This window comes from Homo sapiens, chromosome 3 (assembly GCF_000001405.40).
Source record: "Homo sapiens chromosome 3, GRCh38.p14 Primary Assembly".
NCBI lineage: Eukaryota > Metazoa > Chordata > Mammalia > Primates > Hominidae > Homo > Homo sapiens.
Genome location: NC_000003.12, coordinates 362,258 through 387,602, shown reverse-complemented (window position 1 = coordinate 387,602; position 25,345 = coordinate 362,258). Strand labels below are relative to the sequence as shown.

The 25,345-nt window shown below is 38.2% G+C and overlaps 1 protein-coding gene and 1 long non-coding RNA gene across 19 annotated transcripts in view; one reads left to right on the top strand and one right to left on the bottom strand.

Moving 5' to 3' along the window:
- Positions 1–25,345, bottom strand: part of CHL1 (cell adhesion molecule L1 like) — a 212,655-nt gene that overhangs the window by 21,815 nt on the left and 165,495 nt on the right. For all 18 annotated transcript variants that reach the window (XM_017005566.2, NM_006614.4, XM_017005572.2 and 15 more), the window contains 6 exons: positions 24,220–24,386; positions 21,488–21,653; positions 9,661–9,785; positions 5,323–5,424; positions 4,932–5,129; positions 3,717–3,787 (listed from right to left, as the gene is read on the bottom strand). In XM_017005566.2, coding sequence (XP_016861055.1) covers positions 3,717–3,787; positions 4,932–5,129; positions 5,323–5,424; positions 9,661–9,785; positions 21,488–21,653; positions 24,220–24,386 — 829 coding nt within the window. The remainder of the gene's footprint in view (positions 1–3,716; positions 3,788–4,931; positions 5,130–5,322; positions 5,425–9,660; positions 9,786–21,487; positions 21,654–24,219; positions 24,387–25,345) is intronic.
- CHL1-AS1 (CHL1 antisense RNA 1) lies at positions 1,808–24,230 on the top strand. Its single transcript, NR_110739.1, has 3 exons — positions 1,808–1,900; positions 4,871–5,036; positions 23,580–24,230. It is a non-coding gene; the product is annotated as a CHL1 antisense RNA 1 (long non-coding RNA).

Sequence of the window (25,345 nt, the reverse complement as noted above, 5' to 3'; positions counted from 1 at the left end):
CATTTTGCTCCAAAGAAAGGAGTTAAATTTAATAAAGTTCTCTGACAAATTTTAAATAAATAAATAATAAACCATAACACTTTAAACAAAAATATTTTAGCTATATTAGCGGCCTTTTTAGTACCTGGGAACCCAAATAAACAGCCTGAATGCTTTGTATTTGACTTGAAGGCAATGCCTACTGAGCCTCAGACATTTCCCAAATAATCTCTTCAAGAAAGAACAAAAGGAGCCAGGGCAGAGTAAGCAGGAAGAGGCCACCAGCCTTCCCTTCCCTCTGCCTCTCGTGAAGGAGCCCACGAGGAAGGAGTCTTTAGAAAAGAGGTTCTTAACGTGGGGTGTAGGAATCTCTAGATGGGGTACATGTGTATCCTTTAGAGGATCTGAGAAACCAATGATATTGTTAGTATGACTTTTTGTGTGTAATTTTCTAGAAAAAGAGCTTGCACGTCCAACATAGTTTCAAAGAGATCTATGACCCAAGCAAGGTTATAACTATTAATCTAGAAAACAGAAAGACTGCCGTCCTGCCTTGATTCCATTTTTTAAAAAATTGTTGAACATTTTTATTTATTCTTGAGAAACAAAAATTGTATCTACTTATTATGTACAACATGTTTTGAAATATGTATACATTGTGGAGTGGCTAAATTGAGCTACTCAAAATATATGTTACTTCATATACTTATTTTTTATGATGAGAACACTTAAAACCTAGTCTCTCAACAATTTTCAAGAATACAATACATTGTTATCTACTATAGTCATTATGTTATACAATATTTCATTTAATTCCACTTATTTTCATTTTAAAGCCAGTAGGTCTTCTTATTATACTTGTATTATAAATAATAAAACCTAGATCCATTAGGAGTTAACTATCTTGGATGCGATTATATAACCAGGTAATTAAAGATGTTCCTGCTTCCCAACATTAGTGGGGTTTTGGGCTTTTGGTTTTGCTTTTGGTGTCCTTTAAGTTTGAAATGTGTTATTTTGCTGAGCAAAGTTAAAAATTCACATACATATGCTTAAGAACAATGGAAACTCTCAAGCAAAAATTATCCTGATACAGGTATTTAACTGATAAGGTTGCAGTAGACTCTTTTGTCCTGTTTTGCAAGTAGAACATTATGATGTTCGAACACTCAAAATATATGAGTGAGTCATGACCGACTTAATATATGAGAAGTGAATGTCTGAAGGTAATGCTAACTAAAAAGCCTAGTTCTACCATTAAGTTAAATTGTAATGTTACTTTAAATTGAATCATGTTTAATGTTAAATGTAAAACATAAACAAATAAACAAAAATTAGGGATGTCCAGTCTGTTCCTACTGCTCATCTTCATTGTTAATTCTTTTGGGAAAGATCAGCTTTTTTTTTTTTTTTTTCAAATTATGTCCCTCTGACCATTATCATGTAGATAGGAATTATTTCTAGTACATCTCTGGAGGGGGTCTGGTAATTCATTCACAATACTATCTGATTGTGAAACTGGGAAAAACCTGGAGTCTAACTCCTTTCCGCAGGATGATCCATACAGAACCATACTCAGTGAATGAATGTTCTTAAACTTCACTGGCTGTGTCAGTAGTGATTAGATCTCTGACACATCAAGATAATAGGAGACACCATGGGACATATTGGGAATGTAACTGTCAGCCTAGATCCAAATCCTGTGACTACTTCCTTCCTCTAGTCAATTAATTACTAAATGACATGTCGTTTGCTCCTCAAAGACCAATTTTAAATGCTTTTTTTTTTTTTTTTTTGAGACAGAGTCTCGCTCTGTCACCCAGGCTGGAGCGTAGTGGCATGATCTCAACTCACTGTAACCTCCACCTCCCGGGTTCAAGATATTTTTCTGCCTCAGCCTCCCAAGTAGCAGGGATTACAGGTATGTGCCACCACACCTGGCTAATTTTTATATTTTTAGTAGAGATGCAGTTTCACCATATTGTCCAGGCTGGTCTCAAACTCCTGATCTTGTGATCTGCCCGCCTTGGCCTCCCAAAGTGCTGGGATTACAGGCATGAGCCACAGCACCTGGCCATAGATGCTTTCTTAGTACAGTCCCATTCTTACAAGAAGAGAGCATTAATAATCAATCTTGTGTATCTTTGGGGTAATAAAAAATGACTTATGAGTGAGAGGAGCAGTCAAAAAGACTGAAGATTTCTGGCCTTTTTTCCATATGACTCAGCCCATGGCATCTGGGTGAGGTCATTAAACTCTGAGATTCCCAGTTTCTCTTTATGACATATAAGACTGACACCATCATGGACCACAGCCCTCCCAAAGGAGTAGTGAGGATTAATGAGCTAATGTTACTGGAACATGATGTGCTTCTCTGAGGAACTGACTGGCAAATACACAGTATTACTGATATCTAACCAACTATATTATCTACTTTATGAAAATTTCTATGGAACTTAAGGGAGGATAATACAGATACACCCTAAAAGACTAACATCATTTTAGACTATAAATTAAGTAATTATCAAGACAATGTAGTAGTAACTATAACCACACATTCAAGGAAAGAAATAATATTATTGAATATATTTCATTTCTATGTATTACCATTTTAAAAAAAGTTTTCCACATCTTAAACTTGTAAAACTTAATTTCACTGAAGTGGAAATAAAGATCTAATTTTGATCTAAAAAATATTGACTAAATATTTTGCAGGTATGGGCCATGTGATTGTGTAATGAGTACAAAGACCAACATATGAGGATAAAAAGCAAACTAAACTTTGTGCATTCTAAAATTCTCCCAAAAATTATACCTGGAATGAATTGTGGAAATAAATTAGTATATTTCAGCATACATTAAAAATGTTCTATGTTTACACAAAATTTTATAAATTCAATGTTGGAGGCCTATTACTCATCAGAATGGTTGAATGATAATTTCCTTTTAGGTAGGCCAATATACTGGTCATTAAATACATCCAAGTAGTAGAGAGAAAATAAAATGCCCCACTGTTACAGAAAAAATTTGGAAATGACCCTAGAATAATTAAAATTATCTGGGTAGATGGGCATTTTTATGCAAAATTCAAATGGTGAAGTCTATTTAATAACATTTAACCGAGATATGTAAAGGAGGAAAAAGTGAGGTTTGGAGTCCAAAGATCCTCATACATAAATCCTAGCTTTGCGGATTTCTGGTTGTGTGGTGATGGGCAAGACATTCATAATCCTGGATGCCATCTCCAGATCTAGAATAAGGCGTTCATGATGCTTTCTTCACAAGACCATCCTCAGAATTACTAGAAAGGAGAATACAAAATGTCTACTGGTGTTTAATGAGTAGTGAATACTTTATGGGGGTTCATCAGTTTGATATGCATAATATCTAGTAGATTATACTAAATTAATTAAAGATTTTCAGTATTTTTTGAATGGAAGAGAATCTAGAATATTGTTAATTAAATTATTAATAATTTGAAACTTCGGTAATGTATTACAACTAAATCAATCTGTATAATCTTCCCTAAATTGTTGACCAGTGTTAAACTCGATTTCATAACATCATTTTAATCACAATGATCTTTAAAATTTGTGATGATGACTCACAAGTTAATTTCATTTCCAAATCTTATCTTTGTTCTTAAAAAAATGTTGTGCTATCATTGTAGTTAGCATGCAGACCTAAGAGGAAGAGAAAAGCACAAAGAAATACATAACGTATTAAGAAATACACACCTCCCACTTTATAATCATTTCCTTGGGTTGAGAGGCTTGAACCCTTATGTTTTGTGGATTCCTATCTGGAGCTGAAAAATTAAAAACATTAACATTATTTTTCCTTTTAACCCATAGGTAAGTCATCATATCACAACTCCTGCCCCCCAAAAACACAGATAATTAAGTAAGTTTGATTGTACTTATTAATTTATATCTGGTCCAGTTCCTAAAAAGATTTAAGGTAGATTTTAAATATGTATTTTATTTAAAAGAGTAAAACAGTCTTCTTGGAGTGAAATAATTATTATCCAGTGGAGAGTAGATGGTTTAGTATATGTGTCTTAATTTTGAATCTGCTTTTAAAATTTTTAAAACTGCTTTTTAAAATTCTGAACCTGCTTTTTTAAAAAAAAATTTTAATTTAAGCCTGCTCTATTTTTTCTATTAGAATTGTCATTAGAAACATATGTTGTGAATATTTGCCTGTAGAAGAATAAAGTAAACACCATGTATTAATATCAGCAGCCAAGTTTTAAGGACATCAAAATGAATAAAACCTGTACAGTAGTCATGAATATTTTTAGATGGATTCGTTTTATTAGAAATAGCTAAATGTGGAGTTTAGTGCAAAGGTTGACATGCACTAAAATCACACAAGTGTTAATTTCTATCTGATCCAGTTATAACCTTCACTTGCTTTTTCTCAGTCCAAAAAGGAAATTATGTCCTAGAGTATTTATTTTAGCCAAGGAAAAATAAAATATCATGCTATGACCACATTGATGATCAATAACAATTCAGTAATACAAATTTTAGCAGTCATCCTTGAGATTTTTTCAAACGCATCTTGGAAATTTAGATTGATGTTGAGACACAAGAAAAGACACTGAATGCATAAAAATTAATAATGTTAGATGCATACATATTGAATTTTAATTTAGAACTTACTTGATGATATCTGGTTAAACTTGATATTTAGCCATCACAAAATTACTGAAAGTAATGTTTTTTTTTCATATGTCACTCCCCTAATTTCCTGCTTTTATCGAACTCGTATGTAACACTTCTGAAACTTGTGTGCTTTGAATATTTTGTGTGCTGTTTAGAGAACTGTTAACACTATTTGGAGAAATCTAAAATCCTACATTACTCTATCAATCTTTTTTTTTTAGATGTTCAAAGATGGGGACAAACAAATATTTTGTTAGAAACCTGATGTGAGAACCTGCATACCTGCTGGTGGTGTTTCATGATGGTCTGACGGCTGGCTAGGCTGACTTCTCCCTACTTCGTTCACGGCTATGACCCTGAACTGGTATCTCACAAATGGAGCCAAAGGTAAGATAACTGTGGTTTTCTTTCCTTGGACTCTGGTCAGTTCCTCCCACCTTCCAGGCTCTTCTTTGTTTCCTTCAAATTCAACAATATACTCTGGTAGTATAAACAGGGAAAAAATATTAGAATGTATGGAGTATGGATAAGTTATACCAAAATTTATACTCAATATTAAAAGTTCAAAAGGATGTTATAAGAAGAATAAACCAGTAAGAGTGGTTAAAAAGTGACTTCGCTATTAATTTTGACTATCTAGAGTAATGAAAACAGTTATCCCAAGTCTTCCTACCGCTAATATTGCTGTTGTGGTCAGCTCCAGCTTCCCAGGTCAGCCGAACACTCCTGTTCTGTCTTTCAGACAAGTGAAGGTTTTCTGGTGGATCCGGAACATCTAATTAATAAAGGAAGGGAAAATGTAGATAATTGCCTTTGTTTACCTGATTCCCTTCCTCAGACACATTGCCAGCTACCCGGAGACAGAGGAGGTACCACCCTCTTAGGGACCTGGGAAGCACCCCCGCCCCCCACCCCACATATGGAAGGGAAAGGTGGAGTTTCAAGGGTAATTCAGGCACCTAGCTAGCCCTAAGAAGTAAATAAACAACTTGATAAGAACGGAGGTAATAGTAGCTTTAAACAATAGCCAAGGAAGCTGGAATCACAGGGATGTTTGGTTCTCCTATAGAAACTGAAGATAACATCTTAATATATGTCTCTAAGTTGTTTTTCTGGAACCCAGACTCTCACCAAATAACTTTGCTGGCATGGAGACCTCAGATAAGGGGAAACTGAAGTCTGAGTTCTGACCATCATTTTTTGTAAATTTCTTCCTGAGGGCCTAAAGGGAGCCACATCCATGAGCCAGAGCTAATATTCTTTTTGGCTGACTCCCAATTTTTAAACAAAGCTTCTCTTCCTTAACCAATTGCAAATCAGAAAATCTTTGAATCCACCTATGACCTGTAAGCCATGCCCCAACTCCAGTTCAAGATACCTCACCCTTTTAGGCATAAAGCAATGTGTAACCTCAATGTACTAATTTACTATTTTGCCTATAGCATTTGCTCTCCTGAAATTTACTCCTGCTTTTAAATACCTTCACCTGCAAGCCACTGGGGAGGTTGGGACTTAAGCATGAGCTGACCAGTTCTTGTTTGGTGCCCTGCAGATAAGTGTCTTCCTTTCTCCCACTGCAAACCTCAGTATAGATACCTGGTCTTACTGCACTGGGTTGGTGGACCCCAGTTTGGTTCCATAAAAACCCTTCTTTTCTGGGCCCATGTCTCCACTGTGTTCAATCGCATCAGGCTCTGGGGTCTGGGGTTCTTTGTAAAATGCAGCATCTCCACATGTCCTCCCCAATGGACCATATTACCTCCCTCTTCTCTGATTACAGTCTCAAGGGGTTATCCTTGACCAGGGACATCAGAATTCTTTTAGGAGTAGTTAATAACAATGAAAATTCCTAGGCCCTATTTCTGGCTTACTGAGGAAGGTGGGCCCAGGAATCTGCATTTGCAAACAAGTTCCTTGGATGGGGATTAGGTATACCCAAGTCTGGGAAACATGATGTATCTCAAATGAATCATTTCTGTTTGTCCAGTACATATTTGTTTATATGCCTGATTCATCTCCAAGAATAGGGGTCATATTTTATTAAGCTTTGCATTGCCCACAGTGCCTCACACATAAATGTTTTATAACTAAATAAATCAGTGAAAAAGATATTATTACTTCAATCATGTGTATAATTATTATATTAAAGCAATAAACATTAGGTCTTATGGTTATAGAAAAAGAGATCATGAGCTCTGCTTTCTTTTCTGCAACTGTGTTGGATTTTTATCATTATTGATAACAATGAATTTTCATTATAGCAACTTTGATACCGTCTTAACCTGGAGTTCTCAAAAAGAGTAGGAAGGCAGTTTATATCAGAACAGGGAGATTTGGCATTGTTAAATGTTGTGACAGAAACTGGAAAATTAAGTAAGTAAATGATCACAAATTTTTGAGTACTAAAGAAAATGAAAATTTCTGGTACTTTGAAAATAAAGCAACAGTAAAAAGAAATCTTATTTCTAATGGTATTTACTCTGAAAATTGGGTTTGAATTCTCTCAAGCATTGGAGGACTTTTATCTTTTAGCAGAAGAGAAAAGGAAGATATTATCTAATGTAGCCTTTCAATGGGCTCTTTCTTCTCCAAGTGGAAAGCACCGTCCATTGCTCCTCCTGAATATTTGCTAATTGTTAGAAATTTACATTGACAAAAAGCATCGTTTCCAATTCAGAAGAGAGAACATGTTTTTTAAAAAATGTGGTTCATGACTGTGTCCAAACATTAAAGCCATAAATAAAAAGTTAATTCTTCAACAGGTTTCAGAATCTCTGAGCTCAGAGGACTTTGGTTTCTCTTCAGTATTTACTGAGTCCACTGATTTCTGAAGCTTCCTGGAATAAACTAAGGCTGTGTATTGCATCTGATATTAAAATCTGGCTCTTCTGAGAATCGTATGGAGCTAGAACTGATGAACTTGCAACTGAAACTTTTAAAAAATGATATCCTGAAAGCATGTTTATGTCAAGGCTTTTAAAAATAACTTTTGATTAAAGGGGGTCAAGTATGTACTTTAAAAAATTGTTTTCCAGGGGGTAAAACATAGTCTTTTAGAAACCTCGTATGTGTCTATATAATTATTTTTTTATTGTCAATTGTCGAGAGATGCTTTGGTAAATCAGAAGTTTGTCTAAAAAATAAAAGAATGTAAATTTTAAACATAATATTCTCCAAAATTTATTTTTATTTTTATTCTGTAAACACTGGTAGATTACTGCGTATATAACCAGTACATATAATCGTAGGTAAAATTTATGTAGAATTAAAAAAATTAATAGTTCCAAAAATGGCAGCCTAATCGCAAGAATGAACTTTTAAATTTTGTAAGGAAATTGAGAAGGGGAGCACCAAGCAGTAGGAGACCCGGTCCTTTTGGTGGCTGAGACTGCTCAAAATACTTAGGGACAAAGCGCACGGAGCCTGACACTTACCCCTCTACTCACTAGGCCTGGGATGAATTCCAGTTTATCTGAAGCTCGACTACTTTATCTGATGAATTATTGTTGAAATCATCCTAGGGGATTAAACCTTTCTGCTTGTAAAGACCTGAAAATGCTCAAATACCCAATGGCCAAACATTCTGCCTAAAGGTACAATTCTACTGAGCCGACTCGACAACTCTACAAGTCCATACCTTCTGTAAGTGGAAACTGTTCTTTTATTTTAGAACCCAACCTTGATGGCCATTTGTTTCGCCCGAGACAGGTTGGCCATTTGCTTTACTTGAAGGGATCCAGCCTGTTGACCCATTTTTTTATCAGTCTCTCAGAAGAGACTGAACTTTCTCCCTTGGTCTGTACCACCACCTCCCTTGTTTGGAACCTAACAGGTGGCCCCAACAGCTGGAGTGCTAAAGACACAAAGGTCTGTTGATAACAGTGATTAATGTAGACATATGATAAAGAAGGGTAGGCAAAACCAACACTTTTAAGGAATGTCTGCAAACTAAAAGAAAGACTACATGGTGGCCACCGAAACAGAACAAATGTCTGTAGCTGTTAGGGTCCCTGCAGAAAATCAATGAATAACTCACACAAATTTACGATAGTTCCAAAATGTTTTAATAAAACGTCTTTAAAAAGATGTGGGCAGGATGTTCAGTAGGTTGGGTGTGAGAGAGACTTGAAATATTGGTGGTGGGATGCAGCTGCTAGAGCCTCATCAGAAGGAATGGTGTGAGGAGACCCTGTCTGCAGAAGCCATGACTTTGGCAGTGGGACACAGCCAGTCCACAGGGATGGAGTAGGGAGAATCAGTACAACACTCCAAACGGCCCTCCACTTGCTGAACCAAATAATAGCTGGAAGGAAAGTGGTTTGCTGATGTTGTCCTTAAAAGCAACCTTTCTAGGTCAAAGAGCTGGTAGAGAGTGAATCTGGAAGGGAAATTTTGGAAAACATCCAGCAGATGGTCTAAGAGCTTTAAACATTGGTGATTTCAGGAGTAATTGCATTGATTATACTAGTGAAGTGTGCACACTGTTTCCTGATTAGTACTTTCATCAACAACAACAACGACAAAAATCAAAGACATTCCTTTGTAGAATGCTGGAAGTTCCTCTCCATCCTTCCTGGAACCCTGGGAACTCAGTCTGTGCCTTTGGTTTAGAGATGACCACCGTGCATCCACCTCTTGACCCCTATCGAGATCCTCCAGTCTAGCCCACCTCCATTCCTCAGCCCCATTTCTTTGTACACCAGGAAAGAGTAGCTCAAGAGTGCTAGGAACTCAAGCGTGCTTTATTTTTCTTTCTGCGGATAGCATCACTTACCTCCCACTGCTATTGGCAAATTAACACATGTAGGGAAAAAAAATTAAGCATTAATTAATTTCTTTTATATGAAAAAAGGAGAAAGGATTTGAAGTTGTGTTGCTTTTTAAACAAAAATTTGAAACTAACAATATATGTGCAGGGGCTCAAAGAATCATTAGCTTTATTGGCCAGGAACGATGGGATTTAATCAGAAATGAAGAAATGAACAGATTTCTCATTAGTTAGTGCACTTACCAAGAACAGTTACTTGAGTTATATCGGCAGCACTGTCTAGAGCAGTATGAGCTGAACAGCAGTAAATACCTTGGTCCTCTAAAGTTACATTAGATATGGTCAAATTAGCTCCATCAATAATTATCCTATCAGAAAAAAAGTGAGTACATGATGAGAAGGAAAACAATAGAAATGATAGAAACCCAATTCTTTTAAAAATGCATATTCCTTATCGAAAACAATCTAAGAGTGAAAGATGACTTTATGCAATGCAAATTTGATTAGAGAATGCCACAGTTGAAACCTGGAGATAAAGAATTATTCTAGCATACACAACTGTCTACATAGCCATAAACAAAATCACATTAAAAATTATGAAATCTAACCATCTGTTTGCATGGGTCAGTGATGGAACTGTATGTTGCCTGGCATGTTTAAAGAGTGCATCATACCTCACAATGGCCAAGATATATTTGAGTAATTCTTAAGGTATGTTTAGGGAATCACCTATATAGGCTCGATTGGAGTGCTTCCTACAAAGGCAGATTCCTGAATTCCATCTCCATTCCACAGAACCAGAATACCTGAGAAGGAGTCGGATAATCTCAGTTTTTCACAAGTTTCTCTTTTCTCCGCCCCTCCACTCCCAAGTACAATGCACATTAAGATCAGATAGCAATTGAAGCATATGACTTATTTGAACAGAAGATGGCAGTGTAGTACTTCTTTTTGCAAATCATTTCACCTCACTTTTTATCATTTGTTTTTACCAATTTGTGATCAGGTTTACTATGAGAAAACTGCTTCTTTATAAACTTCACCTTTTACCCCGTACCATTGTTGAGATAACTATTAAAGTATTTTTCAAGTTCCGTAAAATTTAAAATGTATTCATAATAATTAGCATTTTGTTGAAATAACTTAAATAGTGTCATCCTTGTGAGGAGGAAAGGAGGCTCACATAATTAATATTTTTATGTACATTTCATATAAAATGCTGAGAATTTTGAATTATATAAACCTACTTTAAATTGCAGTGTAATGAAACATAGTTATTTTGATTATAGACAGAATCAGCCCTTATTCCTACACCAATAATAGAAAGATTTGCCAACCAATATTACCTTGAATTGTTAATCAAGAATCTCACCATAATTCTAGACATAATAAAACTTTGACATGAATTAACATGTCAGGTCATGTTACTCAGGTGTCCATTTGATACAATATTAGAATACTGCATATCCTGACAATTTTTGAAAAATGTACCTTCTTAGATGAAAGAATATACTTTAATAACCTCTTGAAATAGGACTTCTGTGCCCTGCACGAGGGCCCATAGTAGCTGAAATCTTGCCAAGATTTATACCCTGGCACGGGGTGTTTCAGGCCAGAGAAGAAAGCTACCAATTTTTTTGGCAAGTCATGGTTGCACTATGCCTTGTTTCCAGTCTCACAAATGTATCTTAGGTGCCTCCAATTAATCAACGTTGGGTGCCTCACTAGTCCTCGAAATGTGGTAGGTATGGTATACCTAAAGAACTTATTAAAAATGTCGTGTTCCAGCCTCAGTCCAGGTTCCAAATCAGTACATTTGGAGATGGGGCAAGGGCCATTGCATTTGAACATGAAGCCTGGATAATTCTGTCACATGTCAAAATCACAAATAGTTGTCACACATAGGGTCACACAGAAAATCACACACGGGGTCACACTATGGTGTGCTGCAGTAACAGACAGCTCCAAATTCCCCATGCCCAAGAAAACAGTCACTTATTCCTCCCTCACATTATGTTCCCATCATAGGTCAGCTGGGATTCTGCTTTAAAAAGTTGTATCATTTCTACTCTCATAACACTTGAACTCTTAGAAGAAGCTAAAAACCTCTTCACATCTTCGTGCCCCAATCTTTTCCTCTGTTTGCCTTCATCTGCTTAATTACCTTGCCTGAGAAATCTATCCACTAAAACCACTCGACTCCTTCATCTGCGGTATCCAGTCTGCTAGTCCCTAATCCATGTCAGCAGCCATTGTTGTCTTACCCTGTTCAGCTGAGTAATATCCGTGTTTCCCTGAAGGCACTATGACAAAACGATTCTCTCTTTGGAGACCTGTGTTTGCGGCTCAGTTCCATCAATTATTATTTGTACAACCTTGAACAAAACATTGAGCCTAATTCATCTTATCTGAAAAATGGGGATAACAATATTTTCTTTCTCTTTAGGAGAATTAAATGAGGTAAAGCACATAAAGTGATTAGTGCATACAGCCTGGCAGAGTATGTGCTCAGAGAGTGTTACTAATAATATTAATCAAGTTGATTTCATTCATTTTTGGCTTATTGCTAATCACATTTCTCATGGTTGGTGTTTTAATGTCCCCAACTCCCATTTCTCCTGCCTCTCTGCTTGAACAAATTACCTTATTTCCTAATTTGTTAGAAAGAGACCTTTCACTATGACTGCATCTTCATCTTTGCATCTTCAACTTCTCCCCTTCCCTCATTAATTTGCCACTATTTCTGGAGGGGGAAAAAAGCAGCTCCTATTTGGTGCCAAGGAAAAACCCTCCCACTGGATTCTCAATGCCCTTTCCTCCCACGCCCTCCTAGTTATCAGTATATCCCACTTTTCATGCTACAGTGGTCTCTCCCACAGGACTAGGTCCCTCCCTTTGCCTACAGTCATGAACAGTCCCCATTACCTTTGTTAAGCACGATATAAATTCTAAAAATGGTTTCATAGCCATGCTCCATTTCATTTTTCATAACCATAGTGTATGGTCTATAGCCTGTATGGTCTATGGCCACCTGCAGGTAGGAAATCCACAGAAAATTCCTGGGGGGGCATTTCAATCTACCTAATAGTATTATTGGGAGGCCTAAAGAGAGAAAGCATGTATGGGAAGTACTAACATAACATGAAGCCCCGTAGGTCTAATGGTTCAGAGTGGCAGTTCCCAGCACTTACTGCATCCCTACACAAGAAAGGGGACAAGCGAGAAGAGAAGAAGGAATTTTCACTTCTCATTGTTCACCATGTATATTTGATTAGAAGTTTAACCTCCCTTTAGGTTAAAGCTTCCGGTCTTCTGCATAGTAATAAGGAGAAGGTGTCTCAGCAGAAGGTAAGAAGTATGAGGTTACTGATATGGCTTTGTAGAAAATTAGCAGATACCTGTGACTTCTACTCCCTGCTATATCACCGTGCATGCCCTTGGCAGCAGTCAAGGCCAGCCAGCAGCAGTTACTCCCAGGCTTCCTTGCTCCTGGGGCCTCTTCTGAGCTAAGGTTATTGTCCTTTATCCCTGTTACTTGTTTAGGGAAATTGGCAGAACATCTGTGTCACTTGCTCAGTCCACTCAGATAGCCAGAGGTTCATTTCAGTGTCAGCTCTGGGATCCTGCAGGAACTGTAAAACTGGGTCACATGAAAAGGTTGCTTAGGGCTTCTGGGGTCAAAGCCTAAATGTCCATGTCATATTACCCACCAGCCATGGGTCTCTGATTCCCTTCTTGGCTGTAGCCCAGAGGTCACATGGAAGACCCCGGATAGTCAGGCAGTAGTAACAAAAGAGGCAGAATTTAGGCATATCTGAGCAGTTGGCAGATCAGCGGAGACCTAACCTGAGGCTGGAGATCTGTATTGCAAAGCGTAGCCTTTAGAGGTATATAATTAATCTCGTGTTTCAATGAGAACTGGTTGTAATACATACACTGCCTTTCTGCAAACCTTTGTATATATCGGAAGGAGGGGAGAGAATAAATCAAGAACCAAGGCTGAGACCAATGCCTTTGCATAGAGGCGGCTCACACATAAATACCAACATAGACCAAGCAAGCAACAGAAATGAGACAAGCAGATGAAGAAATGAAGGCAGTGGGGCGGTGGGGGCTGGGGGAGGCGGAGGCAGGGAGCAGGACCAAGATAGCGAACTAGAAACAGCTGTGTTCGGAGGCTCCCATGGAAAAGAACTATAGTAAGTGTGTGAATCCTTCCCTGGCAACCAAGGTATCCAGGTTTCTCTTAGAAGAACTGACTAGGAGGCTGGCATGATCCGCGGAGAGGAGGGAAGAACAGTGTGGTGCAGTGGTCCACCTGAGAGCCGCACGGGGCAGGGGAGACCCTTCCCCCCAGCCAAGGGAGGCGGTGAGTGAATGTGCTACCCAGCTTTTTCCACAGAACTGTGAAACCCATGGATTGGAAGACCCCACTCACAAACTCCAGCCACTGGGTCTAGCATCACAACCCCGAAGCCCCACAGATTCTCAACAGCCTTTCAGCTGGAATCTGCTTAAGCCTACCGAGCTCCTGGTGGAGGGGCGGCCAGCCCCACAGCTGCAGCTGCCTGCTTCCTAAGCCATTTGAGCTCCTTAGAAGAGGGGCAGCAGCCAGCACTGGGAATCACAACTGCCTAACACGCTAAGCTCCCTGGGTGGGGGAGAGGCAACATTCATATCTGTAGCTCCAGGCTGTGCTTTCTCCCCTGCTGGAGCCAGGGAGGCTGGATGGCTTGGTCCCAAGACACGTCCCCCACAGCCCAACACACCCACTGTGGCAGAATCAATGCCTCTTCAGGCCTGACCCTGAGTGCCTTTTCAGGCCTGACCCTGACCCATCATTCCTCCTTGGGTGGGGCTTCCCTGCAGGAACTCCAATAACTCCAGCCAGAGGCTCAGGGACAGAATCCAGATCTCCCTGGGCCTGAGCCCCTAGGGGGAGGGGTGGCCATGGTCTCTGCAGACCAGCAGACTTAGCGTCTCCTCCTGGTAGTTCTGAGGAATCCAGGCAGCCCAGACAAGTCGGTTTCCCCCTAGTGAAGCACATCCCCTCCACCAAGGGACAAAGTGCTTTATTAGATGGGTCCTATTCCCCGTGCCACCCAACTGGGTGAGACCCTCCAAGAGGGCTTGTCAGACACCCTATATAGGAGTGATCCTACTGCCAACAGGTTGGTGACCTTTGAGGTCTGAGATCCCACAAGAAGGAGCAGGCACCCATCTTGGCTGTTCTCCAGCCTCCTTGAGTGACATCTCCAGGCATAGGCGTGAACCAGATGAATAGGGACTGAAGTGGACCCCCAGCAAACTGCAGCAGCCCTACAGAAGGTAGACCTGACCATTGAAAGAAAAAAAAAAAAGAAAGAAAAGAAAGCAACAACAACAGCATCAACAACAAAATCTCCCACAAAAAACCCCATCCAAGTGTCAGCAGCCTCAAAGATAGAAGGAAGACAAATTTATGAAGATGAGAAAGAATCAACAAAAAAAATGCTAAAAACCCCTCTCCTCCCAGTGATCACAATGTCTCTCCACCAAGGGCGCAGAACTGGATGGAGGATGAGGCAGATGAATTGACAGGAGTAGGCTTCAGAGGATGGGTAATAAAAAACTATGCTGACCTAAAGGAGAATGTTCTAACCCAATGCAAGGAAGCTAAGAACCTTGATAAAAGGTCACAGGAGCTGCTAACTAGAATAACCATTTCAGAGAGGAATATAAATGACCTGATGGAGCTGAAAAACACAGCAGGAGAACTTCATGAAGCATACACAAGTATCAGTAGCCAAAGCTACCAAGTGGAAGAAAGGACATGAGATTTTGAAGACCACTTTGCTGAAATACAGTGTGCAGACAAGACTAGAGAAAAAAGAATGCAAAGGAATGAACAAAGCCTTCAAGAAATACGGGACTTCATAAAAAGACTGAACCTGCAACTGGTTGGAGTACCTGAAGGAGATGGGTAGAATGGAAACAAGCTGAAAAACACACTTCCGGATATTATCCAGGAGAACTTCCCAAACCTAGCAAGACAGGCCAACATGCAAATTAAGGAAATACAGAGTACACCACTAAGATACTCCATGAGAAGATTAACCCTAAGACACATAATCATCAGATTCTCTAAGGCTGAAATGAAGGAAAAAATGCTCAGGGCAGCCAGAGAGAAAGGCCAGGTCACCTACAAAGGGAAACCCATCAGACTAACGGTGGACCTCTCAGAAGAAACTCTACAAGCCAGAAGAGAGTGGAGGCCAATATTCAATATTCTTAAAGAAAAGAATTTTCAGCCCAGAATTTCATATCCTGTCAAACTAAGCTTCACAAGTGAAGGAGAAATAAAATCCTTTCCAGACAAGCAAATGCTGAGAGATTTCATTACCACCAGGCCTGCCTTGCAAGATCTCCCGAAAAAAAGCACTAAATATGGAAAGGAAAAACCAGAACCAGTCATGCAAAAACACACCAAAATATAAAGACCAATGACATGATGAAGAAACTTCACCAACTAATGAGCAAAATGACCAAACAGCATCATGATGACAGGATCAAATTCACACATAACAATACTAACCTTAAATGTAAATGCACTGAGTAGCCAAATTAAAAGTCACAGACTGGCAAATCAGATAAGGAGACAAGACTCATCTGTGTGCTGTATTCAGGAGACCCATCTCACATGCAAAGACACACATAGATTCAAAATAAAGGGATGGAGGAAAATTTACCAAGCAAATGGAAAGCAAAACAAAGCAGGGATTGCAATCCTAGTCTCTGACAAAACAAACTTAAAACCAACAAAGATCAGAAAAGACAAAGAAGGGCATTACATAGTGGTAAAGGGAACAATTCAACCAGAAGAGTTAACTATTCTAAATATATATGCATCCAATACAGGAGCACCCAGATTCATAAAACAAGTTCTTAGAGACACATACAAAGACACTGAGACTCCCACACAATAATAGTGGGAGACTTTAACAACCCACTGTCAATATTAGACAGATCAATGAGACAGAAAATTAACAAAGATATTCAGAACTTGAACCCAGCTCTGGACCAAGCAGACCTAATAGACATCTACAGAACTCTCCACCCCAAATCAACAGAATATACATTCTTCTCAGCACCACATCACCCTTATTCTAAAACCCACCACATAATTTGAAGTAAAACACTCCTCAGCAAATACAAAAAACCGTAAATTATAACAAACCGTCTCTCAGACCACAATGCAATCAAATTAGAACTCAGGATTAAGAAACTCACGCAAAACCACACAACTACATGGAAATTGATAAACTTGCTCCTGAATGACTCCTAGGTAAATAATGAAATTAAGGCAGAAATTAAGAAGTTTGAAACCAATGAGAACAAAGACACAATGTATCAGAGTCTGTGGGACACAGCTAAAGCAGTGTTAAGAGGGAAATTTATAGCACTAAATGCCCACATCAGAAAGCTAGAAAGATCTCAAATTCACATGCTAACATCACAATTAAAAGAACCAGAGAGGCAAGAGCAAACTAATCCAAGAGCTAGCAGAAGACAAGAGAAACAACTAAAATCAGAGCAGAATTGAAGGAGACAGAGATATGAAAAACCCTCCAAAAAAATAAATGAATCCAGGAGCTGGTTTTTTTTTTTTGAAAAAATTAACAAAATAGATAGATGACTAGCTAGACTGATAAAGAAGAAAAGAGAGAAGTATCAAATAGACACAATAAAAAATGATAAAGGGGACATCACCACTGACCCCACAGAAATGCAAACTACCATCAAAGAATACTATAAACACCTCTATGCAAATAAACTAGAAAATCTAGAAGAAATGGACATATTCTTGGACACATACACCCTCCCAATACTAAATCCAGAAGAAGTTGAATCCCTGAATAGAGCAATAACAAATTCTGAAATTGAGGCAGTAATTAATAGTCTACCAGCCAATAAAGCCCAGGACCAGATGGATTGACAGCCGAATTCTACCAGAAGTACAAAGAGGAGCTGATACCATTCCTTCTAAAACTATTCCACACAATTGAAAAGAAGGGACTCGTCCCTAAATAATTTTGTGAAGCCAGCATCATCCTGATACCAAAACCAGGAAGAGACACACAAAAAAAGGAACATTCAGGCCAACATCACTGATGAACATTGATGCAAAAATCCTCAATAAAATACTGGCAGACCAAATCCAGCAGCACATCAAAAAACTTATCCACCATGAACAAGTCAGCTTCATCTCTGGGATTCAAGGCTGATTCAACATATTCAGATCAATAAATGTAATTCATCACATAAACAGAACCAAAGACAAAATCCACATGATTATCTCAATAGATGCAGAAAAGGCCTTTGATAAAATTCATCATTCCTTCATGTTAAAAACTGTCAATTAACTAGTTATTGATGGAACACATCTCAAAATAATAAGAGCTATTTATGATAAACCCACAGCCAATATCATATTGAATTGGCAAAAGCTGGAAGCATTCCCTTGGCAAACTAGTACAAGACAAGGATGCCCTCTCTCACCACTCCTATTCAACATAGTATTGGAAGTTCTGGCCAGGGCCATCAGGCAAAAGAAAAAAATAAAGGGTATTCATATAGGAAGAGAGGAAGTCAAATTGTCTGTTTGCAGATGACATGATTTTATATTTAGAAAACCCCGTTGTCTAAGCCCCAAAACTCCTTGAACTGATAAGCAATTTTAGCAATGTCTCAGGATACAAAATCAATGTGCAAAAATCACAAGCATTCCTTTACACCAGCAATAGACCAGCAGAGAGCCAAATCATAAATGAACTCCCATTCACAATTGCTACAAAGAGAATCAAATACCTAGGAATACAGCTAACAAGGGATGCAAAGGACCTCTTCAAGGAGAACTACAAACCACTGCTCAAGGAAATAAAAAAGGACATAAACAAATGAAAAAAAAAAATCCCATCCTCATGGATACAAAGAATAAATATCACGAAAATGGCCACACTGCCCAAAGTAATTTATAGATTCAATGCTATTCCCATCAAACTACCATTGACATTCTACACAGAATTAGAAAAAAAACTACTTTAAATTTCATATGGAATCAAAGAAGACCCCATATAGACAAAACAATCCTAAGCAAAAAGAACAAAGCTGGAGGCATCACGCTACCTGACTTCAAACTACACTACAAGGCGACAGTAACCAAAACAGCATGGTACTGGTATGAAAACAGACATATAGACAAATGGAGCAGAACAGAGACCTCAAAAATAACACCACACATCTATAATCATCTGATCTTTGACAAAACTGACAAATCGAAGCGCTGGGGAAAGGATCTCCTATTCAACAAATGGTGCTGGGAAAACTGGCTAGCCATGTGCAAACAACTGAAAGTAAACCCCTTCCTTACACATTAAACAAAAATTAATTCAAGATGAATTAAAGACTTAAATATAAAACCCAAAACCATTAAAAACCCTAGAAGAAAACCTAGGCAGTACCATTCAGTACATAGGCATGGGCAAAGACTTCATGATGAAAATGGCAAAAGCAATTGAAACAAAAGCCAGAATTTACAAATGGGATCTAATCAAACTAAAGCACTTCTGCACAGCAAAAGAAACTATCATCAGAGCGAACAGGCAACCTACAGAATGACAGAAAATTTTTACAACTACCCATCTGACAAAGGTCTAATATTCTTAATTTAAAAGGAACTTAAACATATTTATAAGAAACAAACAACCCCATCAAACATGGGCAAAGGATATGAACAGACACTTCTCAAAAGAAGACATTTACATGGCCAACAAACATATGAAAAAAAGCTCAACATGACCGATCATCAGAGAGATGCAAATGAAAACCACAATGAGATACCATCTCATGCCAGTCAGAATGGCAATTATTAAAAAGTCAAGAAACAACAGATGCTGGTGAGGCTGCAGAGAAAAAGGAACACTTTTACACTGTTGGTGGGAATGTAAATTAGTTCAACCGTTGTGGAAGACAGTGTGGTGATTCCTCAAGGATCTAGAACCAGAAATACCATTTGACCCAGCAATCACATTACTTGGTATATACCCAACAGAATATATATCATTCTACTATAAAGACACATACACATATATGTTTATTGCAGCACTATTTACAATAGTAAAGACATGAAACCGATACCAAGGCCCATCAGTGGTAGGCTGGATAAAGAAAATGTGGTACAGATACACCATGGAATACTATACAGCCATAAAAAGGAATGAGATCATGTCCTTTTCAGGGACATGGATGAAGCTGGAAGCCATCATCATCAGCAAACATGTGGGAGAAGAACAATGAGAACATATGGACACAGAGAGGTGAATCACACATACCAGGGACTTTTGGGGTGTGGAGGGCAAGGGGAGGGAACTTAGAGGACAGGTCAATAGGTGCAGCAAACCATCATGGCACATGTATACCTATGTAACAAATCTGCATGTTCTGTTCATGTATCCCATTTTTTAATGAAGATGTAAAGAAAAACAAAAATTAAAAAAAGAAATTTGTCATAAGGAAAAAAATGAAGAAATTAGCAGTACAAATCACAAAAGCAAAAATGGACTGTGCAGTTGGTATTTTCTAAGTGCTCTGTATGTTAATGTTTTCTAAGTACTTGGTATTGTTAACCCTATAATGAAAGTACCTTTTTAATACTTTTAATTCAAACTATGTTATGGGATTTAAAACTAAAGCACAAAGATGTTAAGCAGCTTGTCTAAGTTCAAAGATCTAATAAGTGACTGAGCTGAGATTTGAATCTGAGCCATTGAGCTTCAGAGTTCATGATCTTACCCATGGCAGTGTTGCTGTCTCATGCAAGCAGCACATGTCCTATCTAAACATTTTCAGATTTGTAGTTTTACAGGGTAATAAATTACAAAATTAATGAGAGGGGAGATTTGGCTCCAAGATGGTTAAGTTTTAACCCTTACTTAGTAACAATGCAAAAGGACGCGAAGCTGACTTTCTCATATTTTCAAAAGAGAGTAGACATTCAGCAAATGCTGACTTTTTATTTCTTTGATGTACTTAATATCATCTAGTGCTATTAAGCATCCATTCACACTTTCCTCTATATGTTCTCTTTTATATTTTGTCTATATTCTCTATACAGAGTTTGGAAGACTCAAAGGTGTACTTCTCAGTACTCTCTGGCAGGAAGAATCCCAGATATGATTTAGGTTTTGCTAGTGAGTTAAATAAACTCATGTGAGATTGAAAAGTAGAAGGAAAATGGATGCCATCTTCTCTGGGCCAGTGGGAGCAGACAGTGGTTCTGGCAGACATGAGAGGTGGCAGTGGCAGGACTCACGAGTAGTACCAATGGGGTGAGGTGGCCATGAAGATGGCAGCAGTTTCCAGACACCTGGATTGCAGCTGCAGTGCTTTGTGATCAAGAACCTAGAAGACTAGTATGCAGCCTCTTCTAGGCCTAGCTCCTCCAGTTTTTTTTTTTTTTTTTTGCAACCATCCAAGCCCATGCAATTCTTCCTCGGTTACTTAGAGTGGTTTCCATTTCACACACTAATAGAATGGTACATGTTACATGAAAAGTCAGTAGCAAAAACAGGATGATAAACATATGATAGCAGAGTGAAGTGACTTGAAGACAGAAATATTACTCAGTTTTTGTTTTTGTTTCTGTATGAATGCTTTAAGAACTTTTTTTTTTTTTTTGAGACAGAGTCTCTCTCTGTCCCCCAGGCTGGAGTACAGTGGTGTGATCTCAGCTCACCACAACCTCCGCCTCCTGAGTTCAAGTGATTCTTGTGCACCAGCCTCTCGAGTAGCTGGGATCACAGGCACGTGCCATCATGCCCGGCTAATTTTTGTATTTTTAGTGGAGACGGGGTTTCACCGTGTTGGTCAGGCTAGTCTCGAACTCCTGACCTCAAGTGATCCACTCGCCTCGGTCTCCCAAAGTGCTGGGATTACAAGCGTGAGTCAGCATGCCCGACCTAGAACTTTTTAAATCAAATGCAAGTTGTTTACCCCAAGCAAATATTATGACATATCATAATAGTTTACCTACCTGCCATCTTCTGTGCCATTAATTTCAAAGGCTTCTCCATCTTTACTCCAGGACAACTTCAAACTGTGTTTCAAATGTGAGTCACATTTGCTTTCACAATGTAATTCAAGCATATGCAATTTGGGGATACGAGGATTCTTAGGAGAAACTCTAAGTTTTGTAGCATCTGTTTTTACCAAACAAAGATATTAGTTAGAACTAAGCGTAACTTACTTTGTTATTAAGTGCCTGCAAGTTAAGTAACCCAAATTGTCACCATAACTGTCCAATCCTCATGCAGGGTTTGTCCCACTGTAATTTCCTAACATTGTATGTCATTATTATTTTCTTTCCATCCAGGCTTGGACATCTGACAAAATTTAAGTGGAAATATCAACTAATAGTTTAGGAATTTCCCTCATTATTTCTTGGGGAAGGGAGTAAGCAAAGTATAAGCAAACAAATGTCTCTAGAAGTTGAAAATAACATAATTTCTCCTTCAAGTGCTTCTGGATATATAATCAAAGCACTGTAAAGGAAAAGGGAAAGATATTTGATTTTCTGTTAGGGTGTTTATTATTAATTCAGAAACCTGAGGGTAAATGTTTAAGCCCATGAATGGATGAACTATTAACATGAAGGTGGGGAACTAGAAAGCAAGCCTCAGGGAAGTAGGGCCTGTGACTGTTTCATGACACTGCAGTGTCTCCAGAGCCTAGAAGGGAGCCTGTACACCGTAGGCATTCAATACATAGTGTTAAGTCTCCTTTTGAATGAATTACAGGGAGTGATAGTTTGAAACAAAAATAAATTTGTAGTTATCAACATTATGAAACTCAAAGATTGGTTTATGGCTGCCTTAAGAAAATGTTTGGTTCATTATGATTGTTTCAAAACGTGCAATCCTTACTCTTTAATGCCCTATTAAAAGTAAGTATACTCTTAATGTGGCATTTGGCATTTTGGGGACCTCCCAGAGACCAACTGCACAAGCTGACCTCCAATTCTATAATTATACTCTGATATTGGCTATGTACATTTTTCTCAAGGAACTGGCTAAAAATGGAAAGTATTAATAAAATTAATTGTTATTCCAGGCACAAAACTTGAAGAGACTATTAAATTGAATTAATTTTAAGTGAATTATTTGACATCCTACTTCTAATTCTAAATTTAAAGCCAGAAATTCATTTAATAATAATAGATACAATTTAATAAACACTTCTCTATCAGGGCTCTGCTAAGTAATGCATATTCATTGTGGCATTTTATAATTATAACAACTTTATGAATATTAATACTCCCACCTTACAGAGAAAATAATTTAAGGCTAAAATGAAATTGAGCCATAAGACAAGGTTTCCTAACCGGGAATGGGCTGAACCAGGATTTGAACCCAAATCTGCCTGAGACTAAAGCTCATGCTCTCAATCACTATACTATATAGGCTCTCACTTAACTCCATTCTCAACATGCCTTTTGTATATGTAAAAAAAAAAGTGTCCTTAATCCTCCATTGATACGATTCGTATATATTTTTAACATATAAAATAGACACTACAGCATATTGAAACTTTCTAAACTTGTCCATCTCTCTGGCCACTAGCAGTTTTGAGGTCCATTTTGGGCCAAGCACTGTATTGGGCAATAGGAGTGCAAAGTTCCATTTGGATTCGAGGCTTCACGCTCCTTACACCTAGCTGAGTTGCTTAACCTTGATATAGGTTTACTTTTTGAAGTATAAAAACAATCATCACCATCTTCAGTGACTTCATGAGGGCATCTTGAAAAGTGTACATGACACTTGAAAATGTAAAAGACATCAGAGATAAGTAGATATTGTGGGAGAGTATTTGAGTGCTTTAAAAATATAGTCTGTGGGGCTGGCACACTGATTTACTCAGGGCACAGAAAGAGACAAATGCTATAAAATAAGAAAAGGATGTACAGCAAAAGAAAAGGAAAACAGGATGAAAAAAGAAGGAAGGAAGGATATATATGGGAAGAGAGAAAGAAATGTCAAGACATCAGTGGATACAACAGCAGATATGTATGAGGAAAAGTGGCATCAGTGAAAACAGATGATCAAACAAATATGCTCTCCCTTATCTAGGTGGAAGTGAGAAGCAGGCTGGGATATGGACACGACAGAAGAAACAAAAATGCTCCTTATTAATACCGAAGATCCTTTCCATTTTGTGTTTTCTTGAAGATTCTCTGAGCAATATTAAAATCAAAATATCAGTGAAGCCCAAGAAACTATTAACAGCTCCCAGGACTGTGCCCTGAAGTGAGAAGGAATAATACAAAGCTGTTTATGACTCAAAAAGAGGATCAAAAACCCTCCTCATTCTGTCATGCCTCAGTCATTATAAAGTTATGAGTTTGTGAAATCTTTAGCTCAAAAACTTGATTACTGTTACCATTACCTTGAGTTAGCTTTGGAAATAAAATATAGTTACAGAAATATGGTGTAGTATGGTTAATAGGTAATTTTTAAATATTGACAGCCATCTGTCACTACAGACACCTGGCTGCCTCTTAAAATAGGATGAAGCTGTGCACATATCATGGGCATACCCTGTAGTTCTTGCAATAATCTTTTAGATGAAACCCATTCTAGGAATTTTGAAAAACGGTTCAAAGAACTTTATCTGGTACTCCAACTTAAATGGTATTATTCCATTTGGGCAAATGAAGACAGACTGAACCCATGTGACAATTCATGCAAAGTAACAGTGAAATAAAAATACTTCTAATATCCAAATTGGCTGTGACTGCAGTTTTTCCTATAGCATTTTCTACCCAACATGAGTAAGACCCAGCATCTTCTTCGGTGGTTCTGTTGATCTGCAATGTGCCATTTTCATAGATATGATACCGCCTGCCCTCCAGGGGTTTCACTTCTTCCACCTTCTGCCTATGGACAAAGAAAGCGTACATCCATCTGAGGTAGGGCAAAATTGTATACGCTTTTTAATACTAGTCAGTGACGTCATTCAGGCTAATCCCCTTTCAATAGCTCAGAAAACCTCATGAAATGTTCCAGTGGGTTTCATATTTTTCTCAAAATGGACCAAGATTGTATATCTTATCTACCCAAATAGACTGTGGCTATAGAAAATCCAAGTCCATGCTCAGTGCTTCTGCTGTATTTGTCATAGCCACCAGCACCGGTTTGCATGTGTCCTCAGAGCTTAATAAATATTTTCTGGCTTATTGATGGTGAACTCTTTAGTTAATGATTGCTCCAGGGTACTAAATGGGAAAGCTAGTAATTGAAAGAGATAATGAACCTTTCAAACCTCCTGCTGTCCTGGGAGAACATTGGTCATTCAGAAATATTATAAGCTGGGGAGTCTTGCCTGTCCTGTGGACATGGATTACATTTACCCTATCAACCCCAGAGCCATTTCCTCCAACATTCAGCCATTTCCAAGCCCTTGCTGCTACAGCTTGATTTACCCTGTACATTTGACAATAAGCGACTGCTTGAGTTTCTTTTTTTTTTTTAAGGATAAGCTGTGGATGCGGTCCATGTAGGATCATACAGGACAGGGACTAGGCTGAGGCAAGTGGGAGGCTTGCCCCAGATGCAAAATTTAACAGGGTGCCAAACATCTCAGTAAGCAAGGTAAATAATATTTCAATCTAGTATTTTGAAAAATCACAATAATGCAAAAAACCCACGATGAACAAAATACGTATCATGATTTAAAATAAAGGCAATATCTGACCCTATAAATTTATGACCTGGGGTCACTCATCTCACACTGCCCTACAGACCAATGACAAAATTATTCAAGAACTATTTAACCAAGCTTTTTCAGTAAAGCAACTAATAAGGTAGATCCATATTGATAATGTCTTTGGACTTAT